Source organism: Homo sapiens, chromosome 11, assembly GCF_000001405.40.
Source record: "Homo sapiens chromosome 11, GRCh38.p14 Primary Assembly".
In the NCBI taxonomy this organism is placed as follows: Eukaryota; Metazoa; Chordata; class Mammalia; order Primates; family Hominidae; genus Homo; species Homo sapiens.
In genome coordinates, this window is record NC_000011.10 from 101,075,003 (window position 1) to 101,094,832 (window position 19,830).

General features: G+C 38.3%; 1 protein-coding gene across 8 annotated transcripts in view, besides 1 other annotated feature; it reads right to left on the bottom strand.

Annotated features, from left to right (window-relative positions):
- Positions 1 to 19,830, bottom strand: part of PGR (progesterone receptor) — a 100,190-nt gene that overhangs the window by 45,379 nt on the left and 34,981 nt on the right. For 7 of the 8 annotated variants that reach the window (NR_073143.3, NR_073141.3, NM_001271162.2 and 4 more), the window contains exon 3: positions 16,758 to 16,874. The exons of the other annotated variant lie outside the window; for it this stretch is intronic. Coding sequence is in view for 5 of the 7 variants with exons in the window: in NM_001271162.2 (NP_001258091.1) it covers positions 16,758 to 16,874 (117 nt within the window). In the remaining 2 variants the exon portion in view is untranslated. The remainder of the gene's footprint in view (positions 1 to 16,757; positions 16,875 to 19,830) is intronic. 8 annotated transcript variants of the gene reach the window in all.
- Positions 7,668 to 8,232: an enhancer, noted in NCBI's record as "OCT4-NANOG-H3K27ac hESC enhancer chr11:100953401-100953965 (GRCh37/hg19 assembly coordinates)". NCBI's record gives its function as "activates a minimal SCP1, AML or CMV promoter by ChIP-STARR-seq in primed H9 embryonic stem cells {active_cell/tissue: H9 hESC(primed)}" and the evidence as "EXISTENCE:reporter gene assay evidence [ECO:0000049][PMID:30033119]".

The window sequence follows — 19,830 nt, forward strand, 5'->3', positions numbered from 1 at the left end:
CCCATATAACCAAGACAATCCTAAGCAAAAAGAACAAAGCTGGAGGCATCAGGCTAGCTGACTTCAAACTATACTACAAGGCTACAGTAGCCAAAACAGCATGGTACTGGTACCAAAACAGATATATAGACCAATGAAGCAGAACAGAGGCCTCAGAAATAATGCCACACATCTACCATCTGATCTTTGACAAATCTGACCAAAAAAGCAATGGGGAAAGGATTCCCTATTTAATAAATGGTGTTGGGGAAACTGGCTAGCCATATACAGAAAATTGAAAGTGGACCCCTTCCTTACACCTTATACAAAAATTAACTCAAGATAGATCAAAGACTTAAATGTAAGACTGAAAACCATAAAAACCCTAGAGGAAAACCTGGGCAATATCATTCAGGACATAGGCATGGGCAAAGACTTCATGACTAAAACACCAAAAGCAATGGCAACAAAAGACAAAATTGACAAATGGGATCTAATTAAACTAAAGACCTTCTGCACAGCAAAAGAAACTATCATCAGAGTGAACAGGCAACCTACAGAATGGGAGAAAATTTCTGCAATTTATCCATCTAACAAAGGACTACTATCAAGAAGCTACAAAGAATTTAAACAAATTTACAAAAAAAAAAACAAAAAACAACCCCATCAAAAAGTGGGCAAAGGATATGAACAGACACTTCTCAAAAGAAGACATTTATGTGGGCAATAAACATGAAAAAAAAGCTCATCATCACTGGTCGAAATGCAAATCAATACCACAATGAGATGCCATTTCATGCCAGTTAGAATGATGACCATTAAAAACTCAGGAAACAATAGATGCCGGAAAAGATGTGGAGAAATAGGAAAGCTTTTACGCTGTTGGTGGCAGTGTAAATTAGTTCAACCATTGTAGAAGACAGTGTGGTGATTCCTCAAGGATCTAGAACCAGAAATACCATTTGACCCAGCAATCCCGTTACTGGGTATGTACCCAAAGGATTATAAATCATTGTACCATAAAGACACATGCACACGTATGTTTACTGCAGCACTATTCACAATAGTAAAGATTTGGAGCCAACCCAAATGCCCATCAATGATAGACTGGATAAAGAAAATGTGGCACATATACACCATGCAATAACATTGAGCTATCAAAAGGGATGAGTTCATGTCCTTTGCAGGGACATGGATGAAGCTGGAAACCATCATTCAGAGCAAACTAACACAAGAACAGAAAACCAAACACTGCATGTTCTCTCATAAGTGGGAGGTGAACAATGAGAACACATGGACACAGGGAGGGGAATGTCACACACAGGGATCTGTCGGGGGGTGGGGGGCTAAGGGAGGGATAACATTAGAAGAAATACCTAATGTAGATGATGGGTTGATGGGTGCAGCAAAACATCATGGCACGTGTATACCTATGTAACAAACCTTCACGTTCTGCACGTGTATCCCAGAACTTAAAATATAATAAAAAATTTGAAATAAATAAATATAAATTAAAAAATTGAAAACATTAAAAAGTATGGCTTATTTAAATATCATGCATTGAAAAGATAAGATGAAGAGTCTAGGAAACAGTATTGCACAATTATTCTTGATGTATATGTGACTGAATCTGGATGATGATACTATGAGAAGAAATTTTTATGACAAGTGATATGAAAGGTTTTTGAGAGAGATTAGAAGTGAAAGCTTAAATATAACCTAAAAATAAAAATTTTGAAATATCTCAGCAAAAATCCTATAGAGAATGGGAGCAGGGAGAAGAAAAGCTTATAAACTTCTTTAGCATGTTTTAATAAAATAATTTGGTAAAATAGGGCAGGCATAATTATTTAATTCTGATAAAAGAAGAATACAGATTTTTGTATTTTCTACTAATTTTTCTATATCTTTACTATTTTTTTAAAACTACAAATGGAATTTTTTTTTTTTTTTTTTTTTTTTTTGCGACAGAGTTTGTTTTATACTGCCTCATAATTACCTCTTTTCCATTTTCTTTCTTTGCTACCTTGGTCAAGTTTCCCTTTATTTTCTCTTTCCTATTTAACTTTTTCTATTAATTCAGAAGTTTTAATTTGCTTTTCCAGTTTCCTAGTGTTTGTATTCCCATCCTGAACAATCTCTGTATTTTTCTTTTATTATATCAGAAGTCTCTCTGTAGTTCAGGTGAATTTATAGACAGTCATCCTTACACTACCTATATAAAATTATGGAAGGATGTCTAGAGGCATGCTTCTACTTCAGATTACCAAAATGATAATGACCACTGCGCAGTGCTGGGATCAGTCCACTGGCACTACACTTTAACAATCCTTTATAGCACTGATAGTGCTTGCCTTCCATTTTTCAGGATTCACCTCCAATTTCCAGATCAAAACACAGTGTGCCTTTGTATATACTTCAAAGAAAACAAAGATGCTAGACAACAGGAAATATAAAGTGAAATCAGGTATTTTCCAAAAACCAAAACTATACTAGAATTGATTTTTTTAAATGTATATGTCTTAATCATTCAAATAAAGTCAACTACAATGGAGGAGATATTTGAACCCCTCAATTCTAACTTTTTACTGAGTCTAGAAAATAATAAATGCTTGTAGATACTACTGAAAAGTTCTAGTTGGCAAACCATAAAAGACATCCCATACAAACACAGAAAAATTTTAAGCAAAGAAATGAGAATGAATAGTCTGAGGACCATCCCCAGCTAGCATGTGTGAGATGGTGTTTAGGGTAAACAACCAGACTGATGAGAAGGACATCAGTTGGCTGCAGGCTCCAATGCAGTGAACTTGGGGAGCAATGTGAGAGGTGCTGTCTCTGAGAGATGCTGATTCAAAGGCCAGGATTTGGGTGGAAAAAGAGATGCCCATTAAGAAGAAGATTCTGTGAGGTCTAGAGAGGTAGGTGGTAGCCATCACCCACAGTAGATCTTGCCTTAAAGAGGAAAAATGATTTTTGTTCTTAGGGTATTAAAGGCACAGAGCAGGACTCTGTACTTCTAGAAAAGATACCACTGTGTCCTAAATTCAAGAATTTTGCAGTTCTTCCAAAGAAGACTTGTAGCCTTGTTGGCTGTCAAGTGTAGGAGGAGAAAACAAAAAAACAACAAAAATCTTTACTACACAACCCATACTCTCTAGCCCAGAAAGTTATTCTCTTTGCCATAAGAAGTGGTTGAATCTAGGTGGAGGAGGAGGTAGGGGGAGAAGGAGAGAAACTGGCTTTCTAACACAACCTTTTAAAATGTGAAGATAAGGCTTGCTACCAAAAAAGAAAATAATAGAAAAAAAGAAAAACCCATAAAACCTGTAACTGTGGATTTAAAAAATTTCAAAGAAGATAACTATTCATTTAATCATTCTTTTATGTAGAAAGCGACTTATTTTTGAAAGAGCTAATTACCTTATACTAGTTTAGCATTTTTACAACTGCAAAATATAAAGCTGTATTCATTTCAGATATTTTTTTGTGAGTCATTAAACAAAAATGTTTTCTAGAAGAAAGAAGATGGAAGCAGAACACCTAAAGTAGAAGATATATTATCATCCTTAAGGGTGTAACTATCTTCCCACTCAGTGCTGTACAGCAGTGAACTAAAGCAAAAGTTCACTGTGACCTGTTCAAGGTAGGGAAGTGATTCATTAAAGACAAGAATCATATGCAACGAAGAAATCAAATAACTCAAAACATAATTTTTATAATCAAAACATAGCCACGGAAGCAGATAAGAACAAACTGCTCCTAACAAAATCTATGTCATGACATGTCAAAACATATTTATTACCTCTATTATTCTACTGTAAGATTTTATTAAATCTTTTAAAAGCTTTCTAATATTCTCTCATGTTTTATCTTTTGTTATTTAAATGGTCTCTATGTCAGAAATGAGAATTCTTAACCATAACAGCATGATATTGGTATAAAAACAGACACAAAGACCAATGGAACAGAATAGAGAACCCAGAAATAAAGCCATGCATTAACAGTCAACTCATTTTTGACAAAGGTGCCATGGATATACATTGGGGAAAGGGCAATCTCTTCAATAAATGCTGCTGGGAAAACTGGCTACCTATATGCAGAAAACAGAACTAGATCACTATCACTCACCACATACGAAAATAAAATCAAAATCGATTAAAGACTTAAGTGTAAGATCTGAAACTACAAAACTACTACAAGAAAACTTTGGGGAACTGCTTTAAGACTTTTGGGTAAATATTTTTGTAGTAAGACCTCAAGGCATAGGCAATCAAGGCAAAAATTGACAAATGGAATTTCATCAAGCTAAAAAGCTTCCGCACAGCAAAGGAAATAGTTAACAATGTGAAGAGACAAAGAATGAGAGAAAATATTTGAAAACTATTCATCTGACAAGGAGTTAATTATCAGAATATATAAGGAACTCAGCTCAATAGCAAAAAAAAAAAGTAATCCCATTTAAAAATAGGCAAAATGAACAGAAATTTCTTGAAAGAAGACATACAAATGCCAACAGATATATGAAAAAATGCTCAACATCACTAATCATCAGGGAAATGCAAATAAAACCACAATAAGATATTATCTCACTCCAGTTAAAATGGCTGTTACTAAAAAGACAAAAAATAAATGCTGGTGAGGATATGGAGAAAGAGAAATTCTCGTACACTGTTGGTAGTAATCTAAATTAGTACTGTAACTATGGAAAACAGTATGGAGGTTCCTAAAACTAAAAACAGAACTACCACGTGATGCAGCAATCCTACTGTTGGGCATATAGCCAAAAGAAAGAAAACTGGTATATTGAAGATATTATCTGCATTCACATGTTTCCTGCAGCACTATATATAATTGTCATTTACCCCTCCTGTGTAGAGATCTTGGTGCAGGGGGCCCCTCTCTATTCCATGCCAAAGCAGATCTCCAGGCATCTGGAGCACCCACTCTCCTGAATCAGGAGCTTAGGATGCCTCCCATGCAGAGAATTTGCAGCTGAGGAGGTTTCCAAGCTTCAGGTCTGTGTACAACTCTGGGTGCTTGGTGGCCACCCACTGGATTCTTCCTTGGCACTGGTGCTTGTGCTTGCCATCAGGGGACGCAGGTGGACCTGCTCGGTCCAAACTTGCCCTTTGTGGTTCCCTTCTCCTTGGGGCTGAGCAGGGAGTTCCAACTACTGTGCATTCTATGAATCAGAATCAGCCTATTGCCTAAGACAATGGAGAGCTTTTGCTCGGAAACAAGGATCAAGTATATATCCAGCCACATTGGTCACAGCCAGCTCTTACCTATACGTGCCGCCTATGGGCCTGTGGGATGACCTGCAGAGCCCAGTATAAAACCTGCTGAAAGAAGCACATAGGGCTGTAGAATCAAAGTGAAAAGATCCTACCCAGCATTCTTTAGAGGCACAAGCCCTAGAAAAGGGGTAAAAGGGAAACAAAAAAAATTATTAAAATAATAATAATAATACCATTATAGGGAAAGAAAAAAAAAAGAAAAACTACTACCCACATGAAAATAAGTACAAAAATTTGAAGTGCCAATGTCTCCAGATGAGAAGAAACCAGTGCAAGAATTCTGGCATAATGAAAAATCTGATTGCAGTGACATCACTAAGGGATTGCACTAGCTTTCCAGCAATGGTCCCTAACCAAGATGGAAACTCAGAAATGACACATAAATAATTCAAAGCATGGATTGCAAGGAAGTTCATTGTAATCAAAGACAAGGTTGAAAACCAACATAAACTTCTAAAGCAATCTAGGAAATTAAGAAAGACATGAACATCTTAAAAAAAATCAATAGTAGCTTCTGGAATTGAAAAACTCACTTAAAGCCTTCAATTATATTTTGAAATTCGTTATCAATAGACTGGATCAAGCAGAAGAAAAAATTTTAAAGCTTGAAGGCTGGTCTTGTGAACTAACCCAATCTGATAAAAATAAAGAAAAAAATTATTTTAAATGAGCTGTTTTTGAGAAATATAAGATTATATAAAGCAAAAAAACCCTATGAATTATTGGCATTCCTCAGAAAGTAGGAGAAAAAGAAAACAAACTGGAAAATATAGTTGAGGGAATAATTCAAGAAAACTTTCCTAATCTTGCTAGAGAGCTAGAAATCCAGAGAACATCTGTGAGACACCACAAACATGAACATCACTGGCTGGGCGTGGTGACTCATGTCTGTAATCCCAGCACTTTGGGAGGCTGAGGCAGGTGGATCATGAGGTGAGGAGTTCAAGACCAGCCTGGCCAAGACGGTGAAACCCTGACTCTACTAAAAATACAAAAAATTAGCCAGACACGGTGGCAGGCACCTGTAATCCCAGCTACTCGGGAGGTTGAGGCAGGAGAATCCATGGAACTTGGAGGGCGGAGGTTGCAGTGAGCCAAGATCTCACCACTGCACTCCAGCCTGTGTGACACAGTAAGGCTCCATCTCAAAAAAAAAAAAATCACCAAGGTATATAGTCACCAGAATGTTCAAAGGCAATATTACAGAAAAAATCTTAAAGGCAGCCAGAGAAAAGTGCAGATCACATAAAAAGGGAACTCTATCAGGATAATAACAGATTTCTCAGCAGAGGTTTGCAAGCTAGGAGAGATTGGGGGCCTGTTTTCAGCGTTCTTAAAAGAAATTTCAACCAAGAATTTCACATCCTGCCAAACTATGCTTCATAAGTGCAGGACAAATAAAATCTTTTCCAGGCAATCAAGTGCTAAAGGAATTTGTTACCACTAGACCATCCTTACAAGAGATCCTTACATGGGAGTTCTAAACATGGAAGCAAAAGAACCATACCTGCTTCCACATAAACACACTTAAGCACATAGCCTGCACACCCTACAAAGCAAAAACACAATAGAAACAACAAAGCAAACAGCTAACAACTAAACAAGGGATCAAAACCTCACATATAAAAATTAACCTTGAACGTAAATGGTCTAAATGCCTGATATGGTTTGGTTCTGTGTCCTCACCCAAATCTCACGTTGAATTTTAATTCTTAATGTTTGGGGAGGGACCTGATGGGAGGTGATTGGATCATGGGGGCACATTTCCCCCATACTGTTGTTGTGATAATGAGTGAGCTCTCAGGAGATATGATGGTTTAAAAGTGGTGGCACTTCCCCTCTCACTCTCTCTCTCTCTCTCTGCTGCTCTGCCCTGGTAAGACGTGCTTGCTTCCCATTTGCCTTCCACCATGATTGTAAGTTTCCTGAGACCTCCTAGCTATGCTTCCTGTTAAGCCTGCAGAACTGTGAGTCAGTTAAAGTTCTTTTCTTCATAAATTACCCAGTCTCAGGTAGTTCTTTATAACAGTATGAGAATGAGCTAATACAGAAAATTGGTACTGGGAGAGTGGAGCACAGTTAAGAAGATACCTGAAAATGTGGGAGTGACTTTGGAACTGAGTAATGGGCAGAGGTTGGAACAGTTTGCAGGGCTCAGAAGACAGAAAGATATGGGAATGTTTGGAACTTCCTGGAGACTTGTTGAATGGTTGTGACCAAAATGCTGATAGTGACATGGACAATGAGTCTAGGCTTAGGTGGTCTCAGATGGAGTGAGGAACTTATTGGGAACTGGAGTAAAGGTCACTCTTGCTATGCTTTAGCAAAAAGACTGGTGGCATTTTGCCCCTGTCCTAGAGATCTGTGAAGCTTTGAACTTGAGAGAGATGATTTGGGGTATCTGGTGGAAAAAATTTCTAAGCAACAAAGCATTCCAGATGTATGTGACCTGGCTGTTTCTAAACATGTATGCTCATATGCATGAAAAAAGAGATTATCTGAACCTGGAACTTACATTTAAAAGTGAAGCAAAGCAAAAAATATATTGGAATATTTGTAGCCTGGCCATGTGGTAGAAAAGAGAGAGACAAAAAAACATTTCCTGGGGAGCAATTCAAGCCTGCTGCAGAAATTTGCATTAGTAAAGAGGAGTCAAATGTTAACAGTCAAGACAATGGGGAAAATGTCTCCAGGGCATTTCAGAGACCTTCACAGCAGCCCCTCCCATCACAGGCACAGAAGCCTAAGAGGGATTAATGGTTTTGAGGGCCAGGCCCAGGGCCTAGCTACTCTGTGCAGCCTTGGGACATGGTGCCCTGCATTCCAGCTGCTCCAGCTCCAGCTGTTGCTAAAAGGGGCCAAGGTACAGCTTGGGCCAGGGCTTCAGAGGATGCAAACCCAAAGCCCTGGTGGCTTCCACATGGTATTGGGCCTGCGGGTATGAAGAAGGCAAGAGTTGAGGTTTGGAAACCTCCACCTAGATTTCAGAGGATGTATGGAAATGCCTGGATGTCCAGGCAGAAGTCTGCTTCAAGCGCAGAGACCTCATGGAGAACCTCTACTAGGACAGTGTGAAAGGGAAATGTGGGGTTGGAGCCCCTGCACAGAGTTCCCACTGGGGCACTGCCTAGTGGAGCTGTGAGAAGAGGACCACCATCAACCAGACCTCAGAATCGTAGATCCATCAACAGCTTGCATTGTGTGCCTGGAATACCTGCAGGCATTCAATGCCAGCCTGTAAAAGCAGCTGTGGGGGCTGTATCCTGTAGAGCCACAGGGTGGAGCTGCTGAAGGCCTTGGGAGCCCATCCCTTGCATCAGTATGCTCTGGATGTGAGGCATGGAGACAAAAGAGATTATTTTGGAGCTTTAATATTTAATGACTGCCCTGCTGGGTTTTGAACTTGCTTGGGGCCTGTATCTCCTTTGTTTTGGCCAGTTACTCCCATTTAAAATGGGAGTATTTACCCAATGCCCATACCCCTATTGTATCTTGGAAGTAACTAACTTGTTTTTGATATTACAAGATCATAGGTGGAAGGGACTTGCCTTGTCTCAGACGAGACTTTGGTCTTGGACTTTTGGGTTAATGCTGGAATGAGTTAAGACTTTGGGGGACTGTTGGGAAGGCATGATTGTGTTTTGAAAACTGAGAAGGACATAAGCTTTGGGAGGGGCCAGGGGCAGAATGATATGGTTTGGCTCTGTATCCCCATCCAAATCTCACGTTGAATTGTAATTCCCAATGTTGAGGGAGGAACCTGGTAGGAGGTTATTGGATCATGGAGGCAAATTTCCCCCATGCTGTTGTCATGATAGTGAGTGGGTTCTCCCAAGATATAATGATTTAAAAGTGTGTGGCACTCCCCTGACCCACCTCTCCTACTCTGCCATGGTAAGATATTCTTGCTTCCCCTTCACCTTCTGCCTTGATTGTAAGTTTCCTGACGTTGCCTAGCTATGCTTCCTGTTAAGCTTGTAGAACTATGAGTCATTTAAATGTCATTTCTTCATAAATTACCCAGTCTCAGGTAGTACTTTATAGCAGCACAAGAATGGACTAATACAATGTCCCATTTAAAAGTCACAGAGTGGGTCCAGGCACAGTGGCTCACACCTGTAATCCCAGAACTTTGGGAGGCTGAGGCGGGTGGATCACCTGAGACCAGGAGTTCAAGACCAGCCTGACCAACAAGGTAAAACCCCATCTCTACTAAAAATACAAAAATTAGCCAGCCGTGGTGGCAGGTGCATATAATCCCAGCTACTCCGGAGGCTGAGACAGGAGAATTGCTTGAACCTGGGAGGTGGAGGTTGCAGTGAGCTGAGATTGCGCCACTGCACTCCAGCCTGGGCATCAGAGTAAGACTCCATCTAAAAAAAAAAAAAAGTCACAGAGTGGCAAACCAGCTAGGAAAACCAGACTCATCCATCTTCTGTATTCAAGAAACCCATCTCACATGTAATGACAACCATAGGCTCAAAGTAAAGGGTTGGAGAAAGATGTAGCATGCAAACAGAAAACAAAAAAGAGCAGGGGTTGCTATTCTTAGATTAGATAAAACAGACTTTAACAACAGTAAAAAAGGAAAAATAAGGGCATAACGATAAAGAGTTCAATAAGAAGATTTAACTATCCTAAATACATACGCCCTCAACACTGGCACACCCAGATTCATAAAACAAGGACTTCTAAGGACCTAGAAAGCCACACAACAATAGTGGGGGACTGATAGCATTAGATCATCAAGGCAGAAGACTAACAAAGAAATTCTGGACTTAAACTCAATGCTTGTCCAATTGGATCTAATAAACATCTACAGAATAATCCACCCATCAACCACAGAACGTAAATTCTTCTCATCTGTACACAGAACATATACTCCAAGATTCACCACATCCTTGGCCATAAACCAAGACTCAGTACATTTTAAAAAGTCAAAATCATGCCAGTCATACTGTCAGGTCACAGTGGAATACAAAGAGAAACCAACATCAAGAAGATCTGTACAAACCACACAATTACATGGAAATTAAAAAGTTTGCTCTGGATAACTTTGAGTAAACAATAAAATCAAGGCAGAAATAAAAAAAAATTAAAATAAATGAAAACAGACACAACATACCAAAATCTCTGGAATGTAGCAAAAACAATATTAAGAGGAGAGTTTACAGCTCTAAATGCCTACCTCAAAAAGTTAGAAAGATCTCAAATTAATGACCTAACATCACACCTAGAGGAACTAAAAAAAAAAAAAAAAAAAAAAAAACAAGAACAAACTATCCCTAAAGCTAGCAGAAGAAAAGGACGAACTAAAGAGCAGAACCAAATGAAATTGAGACCCAAAAATCTATACAAAGAATCAACAAAACCAAAAGTTATTTTTTTAAAGGATAAATAAGATTGATAGACTGCTAGCTACATTAACAAAGAAAAAAAGAGAGAAGATCCAAATAAACACAAACAGAAATGACAAAGGTGACATCACAACTGATCCCACAGAAATATGAAAGATCCTTAGATAACTATTGTGAACACCTCTACACACACAAACTACAATATCTAGAGGAAATGAATAAATTCCTGAAAACACACAATGTCCCAAGTTTAAATCAGGAAAAAACTAAAGCACTGAACAGACCAATATTGGGTTCCAAATGGAATTAGTAATAAAAAACTTACCAACCAAAAAGAAAGCCCTGGCCAGAGAGATTCACAGCTAAATTCTACCAGATGCACAAAGTAGAGCTGGTACCAATTCTACTGAAACTATTTCAAAAAATCGAGAAGGAAAGACTCCTCCCTAACTCGTTTTCTGAAGCCAGTATCACCCTGATACCAAAACCTGTAAGAGATACCATGAGAAAGGAAAACTATAGGACAATATCTCTGATAAACACAGACACAAAAATTCTCAACAAAACACTAGCAAACCAAATCAAACATCAAAGTTAATTTACCACGATCAAGTTGGCTTCACTCCTGGTATGGAAGGTTAGCTCAATATATGCAAATCAATAAATATGATTTACCACATGAGAAGAATTAAAAATAAAACCATATGATCATCTCAATAGACACAGAAACAGCTTTCGATAAAATGCAATACCACTTCATGATAAAAACCCTCAAGAAACTAGGCAACAAAGAAATATACCTAAAAACAATAAGAGACCAAAATGACAAACTCACAACCAATATCAGACTGAATGGGCAAAAGCTGGAAGAATTTTCCTTGAGATCTGGAAAAAGTTAAGGATGCTCACTCTCACCACTCCTGTTAACACTGGAAGTGCTAGCCAGAGCAGTCAGGCAAGAGAAGGAAATAAAAGGCATTCAAACATGAAAAAAAGAAGTCAAACTATCTCTCTTGCATATTACATGATTTTATAACTAGAAAACCCTAAAGACTCCACCAAAAGGCTCCTAAAACTGATAAATGACTTCAGTAAAGTTTCAGGACACAAAATGAACATGTAAAAATTAGTACCATTTCTATACAACTATAGCATTCAAGGTGAGAGCCAAATCAAGAAAGTAATCCCATTTAAAATAGCCACACACACACACAAAATACCTAGGTATACATATAACTAAGCAGATGAAAGATTTCTACATGGATAACTACATAACATTGCTAAAAGAAATCACAGATGACACTAACACATGTAAAAACATTCCATGTTCATGGATTAGAAGAATCAGTATTGTTAAAATGGCCATACTGTCCAAAGCAATTTACAGATTCAATGTTATTCCTATCAAACTACCAACGACATTTTTTCCAGAACTAGAAAAAGCTATTCTAAAATTTATATAAAATCAAAAGAGCCCAAATAACTACAGCAGTCCTAAACAAAAAGAAAAGTCAGAGGCATCACATTACCCAATTCCAAACTATACTGTAAGGCTACAGTAACCAAAACAGCATGATACTGGCACGAGAGCAGACACATAGACCAATGGAACAGAATATAGAACCCAGAAATAAAGGTGCACACCTACAGCCATCTGATCTTTGACAATGTTGACAAAAATAAGCAATGCAGAAAGGATTCCTTATTCAATAAATGGTGCTGGGATACCTACCTAGTCACATGCAGAATAATGAAATTGGACCCCTACATTTCACCATATACAAAAATTACCTCAAGGTAGATTAAAGATTTAAATATAACACCTCAAACCATAGGAATCCTAAAAGAAAATCTAGGAAATATGATTCTGGATATCAGCCTTGGGAAATAATTTCTAACTAAGTTCTCAAAAGCAATTGAAACAAAAACAAAAATTAACAAGTGAGACCTAATTCAACTAAAGAGTTTCTGCACAGCAAAATAAACTACCAATGGAGTTAACAGACAACCAACAGAATAGGAGAACATGTTCACAAACTATGCCTCCAACAAATGTCTAATATCCAGAATCTATAAGGAACTTAAACAGTTGAACAAGCAAAAAAAAAAAATCTCACCAAAAAAATGGGCAAAAGACTTGAACAGACATTTCTCAAAAGGAGACATACAAGCAGCCAACAAACATTTAAAATGCTCCATATCACTAATCATTAAGATATGCAAATCAAAGCGACAATGACATACCATCTTACACCAATCAGAATGACTATTATTAAAAACTCATGCCAGGCATGGTGGCTCACACCTGTAATTCCAGCACTTTGGGAGGATCACTTGAGCCCAGAAGTTTGAGACCTGACTGGGTAACAAAGTGAGACCTTATCGTTACAAAAAAAAAATAAATAAAAAGTTTGCCAGGTGTGGTGGTGCGTGCCTGTAGTCTCAGCTACTCAGGATGCTGAGGTAGGAAGATCACTTGAGCCCAGGAGATTGAGGCTGCAGTGAGCCATAATTGTGCCACAGCACTCCAGTCTGGGTGACAGAGTGAGACTCTGTCTCAAAAAAGAAAACTCAAAAAACTCAAAACCTAATAGATGCTGGTGAGGCTGTGGAAAAAAGGGAATACTTATATACTGTTGGTGGGAATGTAAATTAGTTCTGCCACGGTAGAAATTGGTTTGAACACTTCTCAAAAGACATTTTTTTTTCTTTTGAGACAGTCTCGCTCTGTCGCCCAGGCTGGAGTGCAGTGGCGCGAACTCAGCTCACTGCAAGCTCCGCCTCCCAGGTTCATGCCATTCTCCTGCCTCAGCCTCCCAAGTAGGTGGGACTACAGGCGCCTGCCACCATGCCTGGCTAATTTTTTTGTGTTTTTAGTAGAGACGGGGTTTCACTGTGTTAGCCAGGATGGTCTCCATCTCCTGAACTCATGATCCACCTGCGTTGGCCTCCCAAAGTGCTGGGATTACAGGCATGAGCCACCGCTCCCGGCCCTCAAAGAACTTAAAACAGAACTACCATTAGACCAGCAATCCCATTACTGGATATATAGCCAAAAGAAAATAAATTGTTCTACTAGAAAGACACATGCACTCACATGTTCATCACAGCACTACTCACAAAAGCAAAGACATGGAATTAACTGAGGCACCCATTAATAGTGGATTGGACAAAGAAAATGTGGCATATATACACCATGGAATATTATGCAGCCATGAAAAGAACGAAGTCACATCCTTTGCAGCAGCATGGATGTAGCTGTAGGCCAAGACCCTAAGCAAATTAACACAGGAACAAAAAACCAAATACTGCATGTTCTCACTTATAAGTGGGAGCTAGACATTGGGTATTCATGAGCATAACAATGGAAACTGAGGACTACTAGAGGAGGAAGGAAGAAGAAGAAAGGGTTGAAAAACTATTGAGTACTATGCTCAGTACCTCAGTACCTAGGTGATGGGATCATTTGTACCTCAAACATTAGTGTCACACAATATACCCAGGTAACAAACCTGCACATGTACCCACTGAAGCTAAAATAAAAGCTGAAAAAATAAATAGAGCTGCGATAGCTGGAAAAAAATGGTCTAATACACTCTTTCCCAGAGTTTAACACATAATCATTTATGGTATACAAGCAGTTTTTAGGTGGTACATCGAATATATATTTAAATAGTTAAGAATGTATATTAATGTCTTTTAGAAAAATTATAACTGGCATATCAAATCCATTATTTCAGAGATATTATTGCTTAGGAAGAGGCTAAGCAAAACAAAAATATTAGACTAATGAGTTTAGTAGTGAGTCTGCTTCCTGATAATCCCCACTAACTCTGCTTAATATCTTTCCACAGCACTTATCATTATTTGACATGTACATTTGTTGCTCGTCCTCCCACAGTGTAAGATCTATGAGGGCAGGAATTTTGTCCATTTTCTTTGCTGCTATATGCGCAGAACTTAGAATAGTATCTGGTAACTAGAAAGGGCTCGATATACAGTTACTGAAAGAAAGGGATGGGGTGCAAATTAGAAAGCGATTGAGGGAGAAGAGGGAGGAAGGAAAGAAGAAGGAAGGGAGGGAGGGAGGGACGGAAAGGAGGGAGAGATGGAGGGAGTAGAGTTAAACAAATAAGTAATATAAAAGGTATGAAAATGCAGCAATAGCTGTGAAGCCCGTAGAATATGGCTTGGGAAGCATAGGAATAACAGGCTAAAGTAACAAGCAGTTTGGTTAGAGAAGATAAAGGATTACAGATGCTTGAATAATATGCTAAAGGCCGGGTGCAGTGGCTCACGCCTGTAATCCCAGCACTTTAGAAGGCCGAGGTGGGCAGATCACCTGAGGTCAGGAGTTCAAAACCAGCCTGGCCAACATGGTGAAACCCCATCTCTACTAAAATACAAAAATTAGCTGGGCGTAATGGCGGGTGCCTATGATACCAGCTACTTGGGAGGTTGTGGCAGGAGAATCGCTGGAACCTGGGAGGCAGAGGTTGCAGTGAGCCAAGATTGCACCATTGCACTCCAGCCTGGGCGACAGAGTGAGACTCTGTCTCAAAAATAAATAAATAAAGCCCTAGAATATTAAAAGATAACATAAATTTCTCTAGGTTATATTGCTGATCCCCAGGAGTATTCTGAAGGTTCTATCCAGAACTCCGCCATTTTCATTCTTTGATAAAATTGAAGAGTCTTTTAAAGTCATTGGGAAAACACTCAAGATTAAAGATCTTAATGGAATCTAAGTGTCAGCATTAGATGCTCTGCTACTTTCTAAGGCAAGCATGCCAAGGAGAAAACAATGGCTGCGCCAGGGTCAGAATACCTTCAGGTCTTTCTTCTGGCTCCGACATTGACTAGATGTGTGATTTTGTGAAAAAGTTGTATTTTCTAAAATTTAGGAGGTTCCTTAAGACTTCTGAGTTGAAACAGAAATACAAAGAGGTGGTAATTGAGGTGTGGGACTCAAAAACAATTTTAATCTGCTGAGGTTGTGGTTTTATTCATTTAATAGAAAGTTACTGAGCACCTCCTTAAGCCAGGCACTACTGTCAACCTAATCACTGCCCTTAACTTAGGAAAACAAATCTTTAATCAAGAAATTATAAAATTCTATAAGTGATCTAATTACATGAATTACTGTAAAGTGCCCAGTATGTTACCTGGGTGATTAATTTTGGTCCAGCACATTTGCAAAAACAAATGAGGTGACAGTTGTATACGCTTTAAACTTGACAAGCATTGGTCTAAATATAGCATTTCCCAAAGGAAAATACACACAACGTCCATGGAACACAAGCTGTTTATAGTTAGTGCACTGAAAAAACATTTTTAGCTTTAACAATTATGTAATATTTTTATTATGTTTTTAAAAAGTTATATCTAGATGTAAAAGCTACGATTCCCAGACAGTGTTGTGCAGGATGTGGCTAAGTGAAAAAATTCAAGGGAGTACGGGTGTCTTGCATAACTGTGGCTCGCTTGATCTCCCTCACTCTGCTATGTTTTCATTCAAACTATCTGTCACTATCTGACATTAATTTTTTAAATGTGTGCTATATTACTGAAAGTTTTAGAGATTCTAATAAAAATATGGGAAAAGGGAATTATTAATATAACTCTTCATCAAATGGATTCCTACCCCAGTTACAGTAATCTTGCTTTAATCAATCACTTGGAGAAGCTAGTAAGCAATGTACCTGACCAATTTGCAGAGTCAATTTTTTGAGCTGAAAGGAATGTTAATGCTCTCGTTTTACAGATAAGTAGACTGATGCCCAGGAAGAGCTGTGGTCACACAGGAGATGGGCAGCAAAGCCTAGACTCCCACACATGTTACTTAATGACAGGTCAGTACATTGCCCATTACCTCTACTTATAGGCAATATAGATGAATTGAGTTTTCTTCTCTTAACAGACCTCAATGTGCTAGAAAACTGTAAAGTTAATGGAATGGTATTGGTTGCTTCATTCAGACACTCACATGTGCAGAGTCACTGCCAATAATCAAGACAGAAAAAACAAAAACAAAGATGAATAAGAAATTGCAATTTTCTGACACACAGTTTTATAGTATAAAGATTACACAGTATATTATTGATGAAAACATCAGAATTACCTCCAAGGACCATGCCAGCCTGACAGCACTTTCTAAGGCGACATGCTGGGCAGTTTTTTCTGCGGATTTTATCAACGATGCAGTCATTTCTTCCAGCACATAAGTAGTTGTGCTGCCCTAAAAAAACAAAATGAGTCAAAATTATTTACAATATCTAAGATTCACTGGAAATTCTATGCAGTGACAACTGAAATAGAGACTAGATACACATCAGCAAGTGCATGACTCAGCCAGCTTCCTGCCTGGCACAGCTGAATGTTGGTGAAGCTATAAAACTGCTCAGTACTTTACCTGTGCCTTTAGGAGCCTAAATTAGGTGAGCATAGCTGAAGAATCAATCCTAGGGCTCCTTTAAAAATCTTTTGCAAGAGATTTCTGTTTATCTTCTTAATGGTGTCAGTATCAGATTGCCTTTAGATGTCATTTCAAGATTAGCTACACGTTTCTGATAAGCATTAGTTGTACCAGGTGGTCAAACTCTAGTAAAACCTTTCTTTCTGACATTGATGCCTTCAAGAAAACAGATACAGACTAAAGAATTGAAGAGGCCTCTGGAAAAGACCTTTTAAAAAAAAATCTAAATGCTTAGTTCTATTGGAAAAATCCCAGAGCTGGTTCTCTCTTTAAGGAATCAATGGAAGAGCATGTAAAAAAGATCACTTATTGTACTGAATTTAATACCTGCCTTATTTTGACTACACATTAGAAAATACCTTGAACAGAAATAATGATAAAGGAAGAACTTAAAACAGATAGAAGTACTCAATAAAGAGGAGAAACTTTATAGAAGTATAGACAATACACATCGCACATCACCCTGGGGTCACTTTGTGTAGAGGAAACTATGGATGCCTTTAAAAAGGTCTGGCACATGAATTTAATATTCAATAATGATTTTTAAACCACAAATATGTTAATAAGGCACGGAACAATCTAATTTATTTAGATTTAACAAAAATAAAAAAATTCAGCTTAAACATGTAAACGTTAATTTACTATTTTTGACACTCTCTTTTTTTCCCAATAAATTTCTTTAAAACAGACTGTGAGTCTTTTAATATCATCAGCCTACTTCAGCCTACTTATACTGCTGAAGCATGACACATAATTTTAAAAGATCATGGGATTTTCCTGTAGTATTTTACATTAGTTAAGATTAAAATCAGAGTCTTCTGGCCAAAGTTGGTAGTAAAGGAACTCAGAGGTACCTAAAACATGTACTTAATCAAGCAGGGGAAAGGATTAGCCTAAACGGCAAAGGGCAAAAATGCCAAAAGGCCTATATATGTGACAGCTGATATCAAGAAGGTTCCTGACCTCATGCATTTCTGGAAAAGCACAAATATTTTCTTAAAGATGCATGCCTCTATAAACTTATGTTCATGTACACTCACATAGTGTTCATCTCTTGTTTAGAGTCCCAGGAATTAAGCCTTCACCTAATAAAGGGTAACTGTGAAGCCTCATATCTTTGCTGACTTTTGTGCACATAGTGCCAGTCCTACAGGAGGTTAGCAGAGTGTACTGCATACTACTTTCTGATTTGACTCTAATTTTTTTTTTTTTTACCACAAGTTATATATTTAGGCTATAGGAGTGACTGTGAGAGCAAGGTGTGTGTAAGTCAGTCTATCAGTTGATCATCTATTTCTACCCTATACTGATATCTCACAAGAAGAGAGAACAGAAAATAGCAAGATTTTCTATTCTTTTTCTTTCAGACGGAGTTTCGCTCTTGTTGCCCAGCCTGGAAAGCAAAGGCACAGTCTCGGCTCACCACAACGTCCACCTCCTGGGTTCAAGGAACTTTCCTGCCTCAGCCTCTGAGTAGCTGGAATTACAGGCATGCACCACCACGCCTGGGTAATTTTGTATTTTTAGTAGAGACAGGGTTTCTGCATGTTGGTCAGGCTGGTCTCGAACTCCCAACCTCAGGTGATCTGCCCGCCTTGGCCTCCCAAAGTGCTGGGATTACAGGCATGAGCCACCACGCCCACCAAGGTTTTCTCTATACAGAAAACAGACTTCGAGAAATAGAGCACGCAGATGTAATTGTTTGAAGAGAGGCTGTCCTACTGTCTGCTCCTTGGTCATAAATACGCAGGAAAAAGGTCTGATCTAAACACCAGAAGCTGGCATGCTGCTGATCTGTCTCACTTACATTTCTAAAATGGCCTACGATATCATCTCCTTATTCAGTGTCTCAAAGAGTCCTCCTTACCAATGGTTTTTGCTTTTGTCCTTCAAACAATTCCTTCCTATCTGCTTTCAAGTCTTGCTCCATCAATTTCCTCCTTTCTCTCCTAAAGTCTTTAGTCTCTCCAGTCCAGTGATGTCCTGCTCTCTCATTATTTTTCCATCCAAAAAAGTTCCAGCACCAAAAAAAGGAACCCTAGCTCACTCTAGATTCTCCCTGAATACATTCCCCTTTTTTTGGTCCTCAAAGTTGTCGAAAACATCATCTACATTTGCTGTTTCTACCTAACTTCCTTTATTCCTATGTGGTAATTTGACTTGTATATTCACTATTCTTATAAAATGGCTTAACATCATCAAATATTTTTTCATTCCTAAATGCTGTGAATGCTTTCCTGACCTGAATCATTTGCTTCAGGTAATTTCTTTCCCCACCTGTCCCATTGATTCATATTTTGGGGCCTCTCTTTTCTGACTCTTGACCTGTCTTTCCAGCACTTCCTTTTAAATTCCCTTTGTCAACTCCTCTTACTTTGCTTATTCCTTATATGTGGTGTGCCACTGCACACACTTTGTGGGTAGTCTGTCTCATTATCTTCTGATGGTCCCAAAATCTCAATATGAGCTCTGACCTTCCAGTCATATTTCTAGGTACCTCAAACTCAATATATACAAAATACAACTAAGTGGTTATCTGTACAAATTATATCATGAATTGTATTATTAGAGAAATTATATAAGAACGTAAGGAAATTCAAAACAGAAAATAACCTACAATTTGATAATCATGCATCTATTCTCATTTTTGCTTCCTTCTTGCTATGGTTTGAATGTTTGTGTCCCCTTCAAAATTCATATTGAAACTTAATCCCCAATG